We start from the raw sequence: 12428 nt of genomic DNA on the forward strand, positions 1-12428 counted from the left end.
TTTTAATAATATAATTAGCTATGATCGTGCCACTGCACCCCAGCCTGGGTGCAGAGTGAGACTCAGTCTCTAAAATGAATGAATGAATGAATGAATATATGCACCTACCACCCAAAAGAAAAGGTACGGACTTGATGATAACCTCTATCTATCCATGGAGTCCCCCAATTTGTTGCCTTGCCCCCACCCTCAACTGAGGTAAATATCATCCTGAATCCCAAGTTCGTCGTTTTTAAATTTCTTTTTAATGTAATTTTATTGCAACTACACAAAATCCTAAATAGTTCATATCCTTTATATTAGTAGCTTTTTTTTTTTTTTTTTTAAAGAGACAGGGTCTTGCTCTGTCACCCAGGTTGGAGTGCAGTGGCACTATCATAGCTCACTGCAGTCTTGAACTCCTCAAGAGGCTCAAGGGATCCTCCCACCTCAGCCTCCCGAGTAGCTGGGATTACAGGCACAAACCACCACACCTGGCTAATTTTTAAAATTATTGTAGGGACGGGGATCTCACTTTGTTGCCCACACTGGTCTTGAATTCCTGGCTTCAAGAGATCATCCCACCTTGGCCTCCCAAAGTGCTGAGATTACAGGCATGAGCCACTGTGCCCAGCCTATATTAGTAGCTTTTAAGTTTATAAAAGTGTGTTATGCTTTATATAATCTTTTGGGATTACAGTTCCTCCCCCTTAATATTCATCCATATTGTTGGGTGTTGTTCTAGTTCATTCATTATGACTCCTGTTGATGAGCATCCATTTTTTTTTCCAGGTTTTGCTGTTGTGAACAGGATGCCATGCTGGTATGGCTTGAATATTTGTCCCCTCCAAAACTCATGTTGAAATTTATCCCCAATGTAGCAGTATTGAGAAGTAGGGCCTTCAAGAGGTGATTGAGTGTTGAGGTCTCTGCCCTGCCCTCATGAATGGATTACCCCATTAATGAGTTACCATGGGAGTGGAACTAGTGACTTTATAAGAAGAGGAAGAGAGGCCAGGTGCAATGGCTCATGCCTGTAATCCCAGCACAAGGTCAGGAGTTCGAGACCAGCCTGACCAACATGGTGAAACCCTGTCTCTACTAAAAATACAAAAATTAGCTGGGCGTGGTGGCGCGCGCCTATAATCAGGAGGCTGAGGCAGGAGAATCGCTTGAACCCGGGAGGCAGAGGTTGCAGGCAGCCGAGATCGCACCACTGGACTCTAGCCTGGGCGACAGAGAAAGAATCCGTCTCAAAAAAAAAAGGAGGAGCGACCTCAGCTAGCATGCTCAGCCCCTTCACTGTGTGATACCCTGTGCTACCTTGGGACTCTGCAGAAAGTCCCTACCAGAAAGAAGGCCCTCACCAGTTATTGCCCTTCAACCTTGGACTTCTCAGCCTCCGTAACTGTAAGAAATAAATTCCTTTTCTTTAGAAATTACCCAGTTTCAGGTATTCTGTTGTAAGCAACAGAAAACAGACTAAGAAACATGCATATCCTAGGTTTCTTGTGCAAGTGTTTCTCTTGGTTACATTCATGAGAGTGGACTCACTGGATTGTTAAGGTATGTATATATTCACTGTAGGAGAAAATGCAAAAATATTTTCTAAAGTGGTTGCACTGATTTACATTCCTTCAACAGGGCAAAAAGATCCTGTTGGCCCACATACTCTCCAACTCTTGGTATTGTCAGACTTTTATGTTTTTGCAATTTGAATGGGTATAAAATGTCATTTTTATCATGTCTTGATTTGTATTTCCCTTATCACAAATGACTTTGAACATCTCTTTATATGTTTGCTGGCTCTATATCTCCTTCTTCTCTGAAGTGGTCTAACAGAACTTTCTTTTTTTTTTTTTTTTGGTACTATTATGACATCCAAGAACACTAACAGTGATTCTTGGCACTCTATTAGAAGTGTATGCATGCCAAATATGCTTCCACTGATTCCATTCTTCTTTCATTTATTCATTCAACAAACATTTGCCCAGACCAGGGATGCAGGGGCAGAATGACAAGCTGGGATAATCAAAGTTCAACTGCTATGGTTCAAATGTTTGTCTCCTCTGAAACTCATATTGAAATTGCCATTGTAACAGTATTAGGAGGTGGGGCCTTTAAAAAGTGAATAGGTCATGGAGGCTCCATTCTCATAAACTGATTAATGCTGTCACTGAGGGAATGGGTTAGTCACCTCAAGAGTGGGTTGTTATAAAGTGAGCCCAGTCCCTTGTGCTTTCTCTTTGTTCATACACTTGCTTGCCCTCTTGTCCTCTGCCATGGAATAATGCAGCAATAAGGCCCTCACCAGATGCTGGCACCAAGTTGGACTTCCCAATCTCCAGAACTATGAGCCAAATAAGCTTATTTTCTTTATAAATTACCCAATCTGTGATATTCTGTTACAGTAGCAGAAAATGGACAAAGATACCAACTCTCTAAAAAAATTAAAATGAAAATCGGACTATAAAAATCTGCCTTGCTATTCATCAGGATGGAAGAACAGACACATATAAAGCCAAATGCAAAATTCACAGGAAACATTATTTCTTCTAAGGACAGGCTGCAGTTGTAATGCCATAAAGAACCCCTACTTTAAGTGCCTATTGCTTTCTTGGTCAATGAGAAACTTTGTTCTCTACAATCATAGACTATCAGAAACTTTGCTGTTTGAAATGATATCAGTAAGAGGGAAACATCTGATTCTCATGGGAGATTCTAAGTCACTTCCAGACAGAGAAGCAAGATTCAATTTTCAACCCAGGTGCAAAGCTTTAGGCAAGAGTTATCTGGGGACACAAAATTCTACATCTAAATTGTTTCCAAGGAAACAGCACTCTGGGTTCACTTCACAGTCCAGACCTGACAATTACCCTTTACATACAGCCCTGCTTTCCTTTGAGCCCACTAAAACACTGCTTCATTTAATTTCATCTGAACTCCACTATTCCTCAAAATCCTATAAGAACTCTATCTTTTCCTTTGCTTAGTGAGCTGCCCATGGTGCCCCTGGTGTGCAGTCTCCCTTATTGATTGCTGGATCTGTCAGACTAAAAATTAGTTTGAGGCTAATTGGACTAGGACACCTCTAACCTTCGAGATTGTTAAACCGAGGGCCAGAGGGGATAAGACTGGATTGAGAGCCCCCAGCAAGTCCACACTTCAGCCTACACCAGGTCCTCTCAAAATATTTTTTTCACCTGAGGATTCAGAAAGGCTTTCAGGAGGGCACACAGGCTTCTAGCTCTGTCAGGATTCTCTGGAGGAGGAGATATTTGAACTTGATTTTGAAGGATGAATAGGCATTCTTAGGTGAAGGACTGCACGACTTCTTCCCCTTCTGCTCCAGTGACATCTCCCAGAGGGCAGGGGCATCTCCAGAATTTACACATTGGAGGTGATATGGAGCAGCAAACTGGTTGAAGGGTAGAAGCAGAGCCTTGTATTAAAGCTACATTTCCAAAGTAAGGGCACCATGACCACATATATTTTACTTCATGAGGAAATAAAAATAATAAAGTTTCCTAAAGATTTTTATTGACATATTGCATTGGACTAAGGACACATTAAAAATTATTAGTATTGGTACTACGTAGTCCCTTTTTAGCTGGGGTAGATGGAGTGGGAGATAAGGTAAATTGCTGCAGCATTCAAACCTCGCATCCAAGCCCCACAGGCACAGCAGGAGGGGAACCCAGCACTCTGAGTTCTCCCTTTTTCCCACCTCATGGCATATCCTAGGAGGGCTTGCATAACCATGATTTCTCCTCCTCCTCCTCCCCTTGTGGTATGTCCTAGGAGAAGCCTGTAACCAGCCTGACATCTCCCCGCTTCTCATCCTGTGGTATCTGCCAGGAGATAGCCGCGGCCGCCCCTGATTCTTTCCAAGAGGCCCTTCAGTTTCTCGGAGCGGTATCACACAGATCCATAGACTACAGGTCCAAAGACCCCCTCCTCCAGTTAGCCCGCCCAGAGAAACGTCCCCACCCGTGCTCCCTGCCACCAGCGGGACAGCTCCACCTGAGTTTAGAGCAGACAGCTCTAAACTCACAGCCTGCTCTGTGAGTTCAGAGGTGTCCTCATCCTCAATACGGATGGACACTCCTCCAACATGGTGTATCCCATGGGGAAGCGCGACGTGGGCGCGGCCATGTTCCCCACCTGACCACGCCGCCGAGGGGTACCGAACGTCCCAAAGCACCCACTTCCGTAACTTCTCCATGTTGACTCCTGGCTAACAGCAGCTTCAAAGGTGGTTTTGCGCACGCGCGGAACCTCCGCTTCCCTCATTCATGTGAAGTCCCAAACCCCGAAAAAGGGCGGTGCTAGGGGTAGTGACCGGAAGCGGCTGCGGTTCTCGCCGGTTCTCAGCCGGGGTTTGATAGTTGTCAGGAGGATTCGACGTTCAGTGCCCAGGGATGTGGAGGTGATGGGGGGCCGGGGAGGGTGAGTGCTGGGCGATTCTGTGTGGCCAGTGATGGAATCGTTTATCTAACTTGAGTTGGATGATTCACTCATCATTTTGCAGGCTTTTCTCTTTTCTAACATCACCGTTAAGGTCTTAAAGTTCATTCTAAGCCCCATTGGGTTTGGAGCATTATGTTTTTTAAGAGTGTTAACTTGTATTCATTTGTCTTTTACCCGGGAGTTATTCAAAAGTGGGGTTTCAGTGTGCAAAAGTTTATCTCTGTAATGGATCTCTAACCTTAGTTTTCTGTGTTAGAAAAATATCTACGTGAAGCTCATTCCTTGAAATATAAGGAGACTTATGGCCTAGTCCGTGGTGAATTTTTAGAAACGTTCTATATATAACTTGAAAATAATATTTAATTATTTAGTCGTCAATTGTGTCATAGAAAATCTATCCTTTTTTGTCTGCTTCTTCTATTACTTCGAGGAGAGAGAAATTCTCCACTGTGATGGTGATTTGTCTGTGTCTCCTTACTGCTGTCTGTGATCCTCTGTGAGTTACTTTTTGTATAAAGTATGAGACTTAGGTCGAGGTGCATTAATTTGCTTATGGATGTCCAGACTGAAGCACCATTTGTTGAAAAGACTATCTTTCCTCCATTGACTTGTCTTTCACCATTGTCAAAAATAAGTTGGCCATACTTGTGTGTGGGCTCTTTCTGGGTTTGCTATTCAGTTCATTGTCTATGTGTCTATCCCTCTGCCAGTACTACCTTGCTGTCTTGAATTGGATAGAGTGATTCCTCTCACTTTATTCTTTTTCAAAATTGTTTTAATGCCTCTGGTTCCCTTGCCTTTCCTATATGCATTTTAGAAAATCTTGTCTCTATCTACAAAGCATCTTGCTTGGATTTTGATAGGAATTGCATTAAACCTGTATACCAACTCGGGAAGAAGTTAAGTCTTAACTGTGCCAAGTCTTCCAATCCATATACATAGTATGTCTCTCTATTTATTTAGATCTTTTAAAATTTCTATAAATGGTGTATTTTAATTTTCATCACCCAAGTTCTGTACATGTCTTATTCAATTTATACCTAAGTATTTAATTGTTTTGGAGTGGTCATAAATGGTGTTATCTTTTAAATTGTTGCTTATATATAGGAATACAATTGAGTTTTGTCTGTTGGTCTTGTATCCTGCAATCTTGCTGAGCTCAATTATTAGGTTTTACACCTTTTTTGGCAGATTCCTTGGATTTTCTGCATGAGCAATCATGTCATATACAAACAGGGATAGTTTTATTTCTTTCTTTCCAATCTTTATACCTCTGCTTTTCTTCCCTTATTACACTGGCAAGAAGTTCCAGTACTATGTTGAATAAGAGAGTGGACATCTTTGCATTGTTTTCAGTCTTAGGGGGAAAATATTCAACCTTTTACCATTAAGTATGATTTTAGCTGTAGGGCTTTCTTTTTTTGGACCCTCTTTTTTGGTTGAGGAAGTTCCCCTCTATTTTTAATTTCAAAAGTAGTTTTTATCGTGAATGGGTGTTGAATTTCATCAACACTCTGAATTTTGATGATCTTGTGATTTTTTTTCTTTTTTAGCTTGTCAGTATGGAGGGTTATGCTGATTGATTTTTGAATATTGAACTAGTCTTACATTCCTGGAATAAACCCTACTTGGTTGTGATGTATAATTCTTTGGATATATTGAAGGAATTGATTAGCTAATGCTTTTTTGAGGATTTTTGCATCTAAGTTCATGGGAAATATTTGTCTATAGTTTTCTTTTTTATACTATCTTTGTCTGGTTTTATTTTTTATTTTTGAGACAGGCTCTCACTCTGTTCCTCAGGCTGGAATGCAGTGGTGTGACCATGGCTTACTGCAGCCTTGACCTCCCAGCCTCAAGTGATTCTTCCACCTCAGCCTCCTGAGTAGCTGGGACTCCAGGCACACGCCACCACACCCAACTAATTTTATTATTTTTTGTAAACCGGGTCTCACTATGTTGCCCAGGCTGGTCTCAATCTCCTGGGCTCAAATAGTCCTCCTGCCTCAGCCTCTCAAAGTGCTGGGATTACAGGTGTTAGCCACTGCTCTTGGCTTTGTCTGGTTTTAGTATTAGGGTAATACTGGCCTCATTGAATGAGTTGGGGACTATTTCCTCCTCTTCTGTTTTCTGGAAGAGACTGTGTAGAATAAGTACTAATTTTTATTTAAATATTTAAATATTTGGTAGACTTCTCCAGTGAAGCCATCTGGGCCTGGAAACTTCCATTTGGAAGCTTTTTGATCATGGCTTCAATGTCTGTAATAGTTATGTAACTATTCAGATTATCTATTTAATATCATTTTAGACTACAGGTTAAGCATCCCTAATTCAAAAATCTGAAATCCAAAATGCTTCAAAATCCAAAACTTTCTGAGTGCCAACATAATGCCACAAGCAAAATTTCACACCTGATTTTGTGACAGGTCACAGTCAAAATGCAGTGAAAACTTTGTTTCATGCACAAAATTATTAAACATGTTATATAAAATTACCTTCAGGCTATGTTATAAGGTAACATAGTGTACATGAAACATAAATGAATTCTGTGTGTATACTTGGGTCTCATTCTGCAAGATACTTTATTATGTATATGCATATATTCCAAAATAAAAAAAAACTGAAATCTGAAACACTTCTGTTCCCAAGCATTTTGGATAAGAGACATTCAACCTGCATTTAATAGTGGGTGAATTGTGGTACTTTGCATTTTACAAGGAATTGGACTGTTTCATCCAAGTTGTTGAATTTATGTGCACAAAGTTGTTGTGGTATTCCCTTACTATCCTTTTAATGCAAGCTTGTCCAACCCGCTGTCCGTGGGCCACATGTGGCTCCGGACAGCTTGGAATGCAGCCCAACACAAATTCGTAAACTTTCTTAAAATATTGTGAGTTTTTTTTGCATTTTTTTTAAAGCTCATCAGCTATCGTTAGTGTTAGTGTATTTTATGTGTGGTGAAAGACAATTCTTCTTCCAGTGGGGCCCAGGGAAGCCAAAAGATTAGATACCCCTGTTTTAATGGCTGCAGGATCTGCAGTTACATCTCTGTGTTTCATTTCTAATATTGGTAATTTGTGTCTTCATGTCTTCTCTCTCTTTTTTTTTTTTTTTTTGCAGAGACAAGTGAACATTTATTTTTGTGCCTTTCTTCCTATGTGTATTTCGAGTCTTTTTCAAAACAAGTCCCCAGGAATCTCCAGATTCAATTATGTCCCTGGGCTTGGTCGACTGCTGCAGGATTCTTAGGAAGCATTATACAAATGCTAGAGTTACTCATTAACCAACATTAAACCCTAGGATAGAAGATGCAGCAAAGCAGGACTCCTTCCTCCGTGGAATGTGCTGATTTCAGATGAGGCCGCAGCCAATGTAGAAAATGCTGGAATTTTTCCTTGAAACTGGACTGTGATGAGAGGTGCTTGCCATGAACATAAGCTACTGTCTTTTCTTTTCTTTCTTTCTTTTCTTTTTCTTTTTTTTTTTTTTTTTGAGACGGAGTTTTGCTGTTGTTGTCCAGGCTGGAGTGCAATGGCGCAATCTCGGCTCACCCCAACCTCCGCCTCCCAGGCAGGTTCAAGCGATTCTCCTGCCTCAACCTCCTGAGTAGCTGGGATTACAGGCATGCGCCACCATGCCCGGCTAATTTTTGTATTTTTAGTAGAGACGGGGTTTCTCCATGTTGGTCAGGCTGGTCTTGAACTCCTGACCTCAGGTGATCCGCCCGCTTTGGCCTCCCAAAGTGCTGGGATTGCAGGCATGAGCCACCGCGCCCGGCGAGCTACTGTCTTTTCTTTGACCCTTCCTTTCCAGTTTTTGAAGATAAAGCAGGAGATAAACTTCTCTGAAGATACTTGATAAAAATTCCCCCCAAAAATAAAAACACATGCTTCCACTTCATTGATACAAATTTACTGCAGTTTGGCACCTGGGTCTAGTTCAGCTGGTGGATGAGCAGATTGATGTGTTCACCCCGATAGCCAGGTGTGCCCGTCTCCTTGAGGAAGCCTACTCTATTTTTGGTAGCATGACGGGCCACTGACAGGTGGAAAGGGCTCAAGAACCATGAGATCTCCTCGAAATGTTTCCCTGGGAAGGCAATTTCATGAATGAGGTCTTCCAAGCAAATGACACCAAACTTCCCCAGGTGCTCCTCAATCACTGTACTGTCTGTCAGAGGGATGGTCTTATTCTTGACCTTGGCTTGTCTATGTTTAAAAATGAGTTCCCGGACAGACTTCAGATTTGGAAATCCCCAGGTCACATAAGGTTCCACTATATGCAGCATTTTTAGGTTCTGGGAGGTAACTTTTACAAAGACACCACTAAAAATTTTCTTTAGGCGGTCTTGCAGTGGTTCTCTGCACCAGTAAACTCACGCCATCAATCCTTTCGATGTGTATGACAAAGGCCAAGGAATGTTTATCTGGCAATTCCAAGGCATGAGGTTTCACTTCTAGTCGTCTGAGACGCACCTTGTCACGTTTCTGCCGCCAGGAATCATGTAGGAATGATTCCAGTCACTTAAACCTAAGCCTTTTTCCTTTCCTCTGCTCCTTCTTTGCCAAAAGTGCCTGCTTTGCCTGGGTGGCTTTGAGGGCTTGATAAACCTTCCTCTTTTTTCAGGAGATTTTCTGGAACCAAAGGGATTTTTCTTTGCTCTTGCTCTGCCATCTTTCTAGTCGTGTCTTTTTTATCTTTGTCAATCTTGCTGGAGGATTACAAGTTTTATTGTTCTTTTCAAAAGACCAGCTATTGGATTTATTTATTTTTTCTATTGTTTTTCTGTTTTCAATTTCATTGATTTCTGCTCTTGTATTTATTACTTCCTTCCGCTTAGTTTGAGTTTTCTTTTTCTAGTTTCTTGAGGTGGGAGCTTAGATTATTGATTTAAGACCTTTCCTCTTTTCTCATATAAACATTTAGTGCTATAATGTTCCCTCTCAACAGTGCTTTATCTGTACCCCACAGATTTTGATATGTTACATTTTTCGTTTTCATTCATCACATTTTAATTTCCCTTGGGACTTCATCTTTGATCCATGGATCATATAGAAATATATTATTTAAAGTATCTGGAGATTCTCCTGTTATCTTTCTGTTGTTGATTGATAGTTCTATGCTATTATAATCAGAGAACATACTCTGTACGACTTCAATTTGTGGAGGTGTTTTATGACCCCCGGTGTGGTCTATTTGGAGAATGTTCAGCAGGTGCTTGAAAGGAAGGTGCATTCCATTAGTGTTTGGCTGGAGAAGGCTGTGTATCTTCAAAAAGGTTTTCTGTTCAGCGAAGTCACCTTTTTCCTGGTCCGTTAACAGGAATGGCTTTTCTTGGAGCCATATTGTTTTGGCGGGGGGAGTCTGTTCCTGTTGATGGTTCTGAGTTGTAAGTTTCTGCAGTACCTTTTGATGATATATGGGAGGATAAAGGAAAACCCAGGGAACTCAACCACTGTGCTGTTCAAGTCCTGAGGTCTGCAAGCTGTCCTCCTTACCTTTCTACCTTTCAGAGTCTTCTGATTTGTGTTTGTTGTTTTAATTTTTTTTCTGGTCTCTTCTACATGTACTAACCTCTTCTTTCTTTTCTGTGTTTTGGTTTTGTTTTGTTTTTTTGATAGAGTCTCACTCTGTCACCCAGGCTGGAGTGCAGTTTGTGTGATCTCAACTCACTGCAACCTCTGCCTCCTGGGTTCAAGCGATTCTCCTGCCTCAGCCTCCCGAGTAGCTGGAATTACAGGTGCGTGCCACCATGCCTAGCTAATTTTTGTACTTTTAGTAGAGACGGGGTTTCACCATGTTGGCCAAGCTGGTCTTGAACTCCTGGCCTCAACTGATCTGCCAGCCTTGGCTTCCCAAAGTTCTGGGATTACAGGTGTGAGCCACCACACTCGGTTTCTTTTCTTTTCTTATATTAACTTTGTTAATTTGCATTTTACTAGGGAAGCACTTGTTTTATGGCAGTATTAAAATGCATTGCTATACAGTTATGCATAATGTTCTGCAATAACTGCTTTAAACACCTTCCTATCTGGGAAAGATTTTCCTCTCATTTTGAATATATGTATATGTGTATGTGTGTGTATGGTTTCTATGGTTTTAAGGCTCTTCCATGATGTAATAGGTATCTGTACTTCTTTTTTATTACCAAATAATACTCTATTGTATATATATGGCAAATTTTGTTTATCCATTCATCACTTGATGGACATTTGGATTATTTCCACTTTTTGGCTATTATGGATAATGCTGCTGTGACTATTTGTGTATAAGTTTTGGAATGGACATATGTTTTAATTTCTCTTGCATAGACATGGTCTCCTAATCAAATGGAAGATTTGGGTTTTGATTTGTATTTTCCTAATGACTGATGATGATAATTATCTTATGTTATTCCTATATCTACACACACACACACACACACACACACACACACATTCTTGACTCCTTTATCTGATTTGCTAGAGAGTTTTTTTTATGACATTGGTCATTTCCATTTGTTTATTTTTTTTGAGACAGTTTCTCACTCTGTCATCCAGGCTGGACTGCAGTGATGCAACTGTGGCTCACTGCATCTTCGACTTCCCAGGCTCAAGCAATCCTTCCACCTCAGTCTTCCTGAATAGCTGGAACTACAGGTGCACACAACCATGCCTGGCTAATTTTTCTATTTTTTTGTAGAGATAAGGTTTCACCATGTTGCCCAGGTTGGGCTCAAACTCCTGGGCTCAAGCGATCCTCCCACCTTGGCCTCCCAAAGTGCTGAGATTATAGGCATGAGCCACTGCGCCTGGCTACATTGGTCATTTCATTTCTTTTTTTTCTTTAAACCTCCTATATTTATTTGATTTAGTTAAGGTTTTATTAATTACTTCCTGGTTTTGGTTTTTGTTTTGCTTAATTTTGTTTTTTCTAATTCTAATGTTTTAGGTTGAATATATAGCTCATTTTTGGGTTGTATTTATTTTTAATTAAAACCAAAGCTATTTAAAGCAGTAAATTTCACTCCAAATACAATGCTGTATTCCGTAACTTCTGGTAAAATTTGTATAGCTTCTGTATTGATTTCCCACTTTGATCCTGGGTTATTCAGGAAAAAGTTTTCTTCCCCTTTTAAAAAATAAGATTTATTTAGGTATATTCCAATACCATAAAATTCACCCACTTAAAGTATGTAGCTCAGTGGTTTTTAGTATATTAACAGAGTTGTGCAGCCATCACCACAATCTAATTTTAGAACCTTTTCAACACACCCAAAAGAAATCCTGTCCTCATTAGCAGACATTTACCATTCATGCCACCTCATACTCCCAGCCCTAGGCAACCACTCTTCTATTTCTGTCTCTGTGGATTTGCCTATTCTGGATATTTCACATGAGTGGAATCACAAAATATGTGGTCTTTTGTGACCGGCTTCTTTCACTTAGGGTAGAGTTTTCAGGGGTCATCCATGTTGTAGTAAGTATTAGTACTTCTTTTGTATTACCAAATGTTATAATATTCCATTGTGTATATATGCGAAATTTTGTTTATCCATTCATCAATTGACATCAAACATTTGGATTGTTTCTACTTTTTGGCTGCTATGAATAATGCTGCTGTAAATATTTGTATACAAGTTTTGGAATGGACATGGGTTTTTAAAAATTTCTCTTGCATAGATATCTATGAGTGGAATTTCTGGGTTATATGGTGACTTTATGGTTGATATTTTGAGAAACTGCCAAACTGTTTTTCAGAATGAGTGCACCATTTTACAATCCAACCAGCAATGTATGAGAGCCCCAATTTATTCACAGCTCACCAACACTTGTTACTGTCTTTTCTTCTTATGTTAGCCATTTTAGTGGATGTGACATGGTCTCCTAATACATGAAAGATTTTGGTTTTGATTTGCATTTTCCTAATGACTGATGTTGTTGAACATCTTATGTTACGATCAGAGAATGTAAACCTGTCAATTCCCAACATTAAAACAT

At 40.3% G+C, this 12428-nt stretch overlaps 1 protein-coding gene and 1 pseudogene across 6 annotated transcripts in view, besides 1 other annotated feature; one reads left to right on the forward strand and one right to left on the reverse strand.

Moving 5' to 3' along the window:
- Positions 4071-4450: an enhancer, noted in NCBI's record as "active region_29598". NCBI's record gives its function as "activates an Ori minimal core promoter by ATAC-STARR-seq in GM12878 lymphoblastoid cells {active_cell/tissue: GM12878}" and the evidence as "EXISTENCE:reporter gene assay evidence [ECO:0000049][PMID:35858748]".
- The window catches only part of ZNF81 (zinc finger protein 81), an 88726-nt gene continuing 80620 nt past the window's right edge, over positions 4323-12428 (forward strand). For 3 of the 6 annotated variants that reach the window (NR_165431.1, NM_001378154.1, NM_001378152.1), the window contains exons 1-2: positions 4323-4428; positions 10071-10189. The gene's annotated coding sequence lies outside the window, so the exon portion shown is untranslated. The remainder of the gene's footprint in view (positions 4429-10070; positions 10190-12428) is intronic. The other 3 variants (NM_007137.5, NM_001378155.1, NM_001378153.1) reach the window with 2 other exon arrangements.
- Positions 8384-9131, reverse strand: RPL7P57 (ribosomal protein L7 pseudogene 57; annotated as a pseudogene).

The sequence above is a fragment of the Homo sapiens genome, chromosome X (genome assembly GCF_000001405.40).
Source record: "Homo sapiens chromosome X, GRCh38.p14 Primary Assembly".
Classification (NCBI taxonomy): Eukaryota; Metazoa; Chordata; class Mammalia; order Primates; family Hominidae; genus Homo; species Homo sapiens.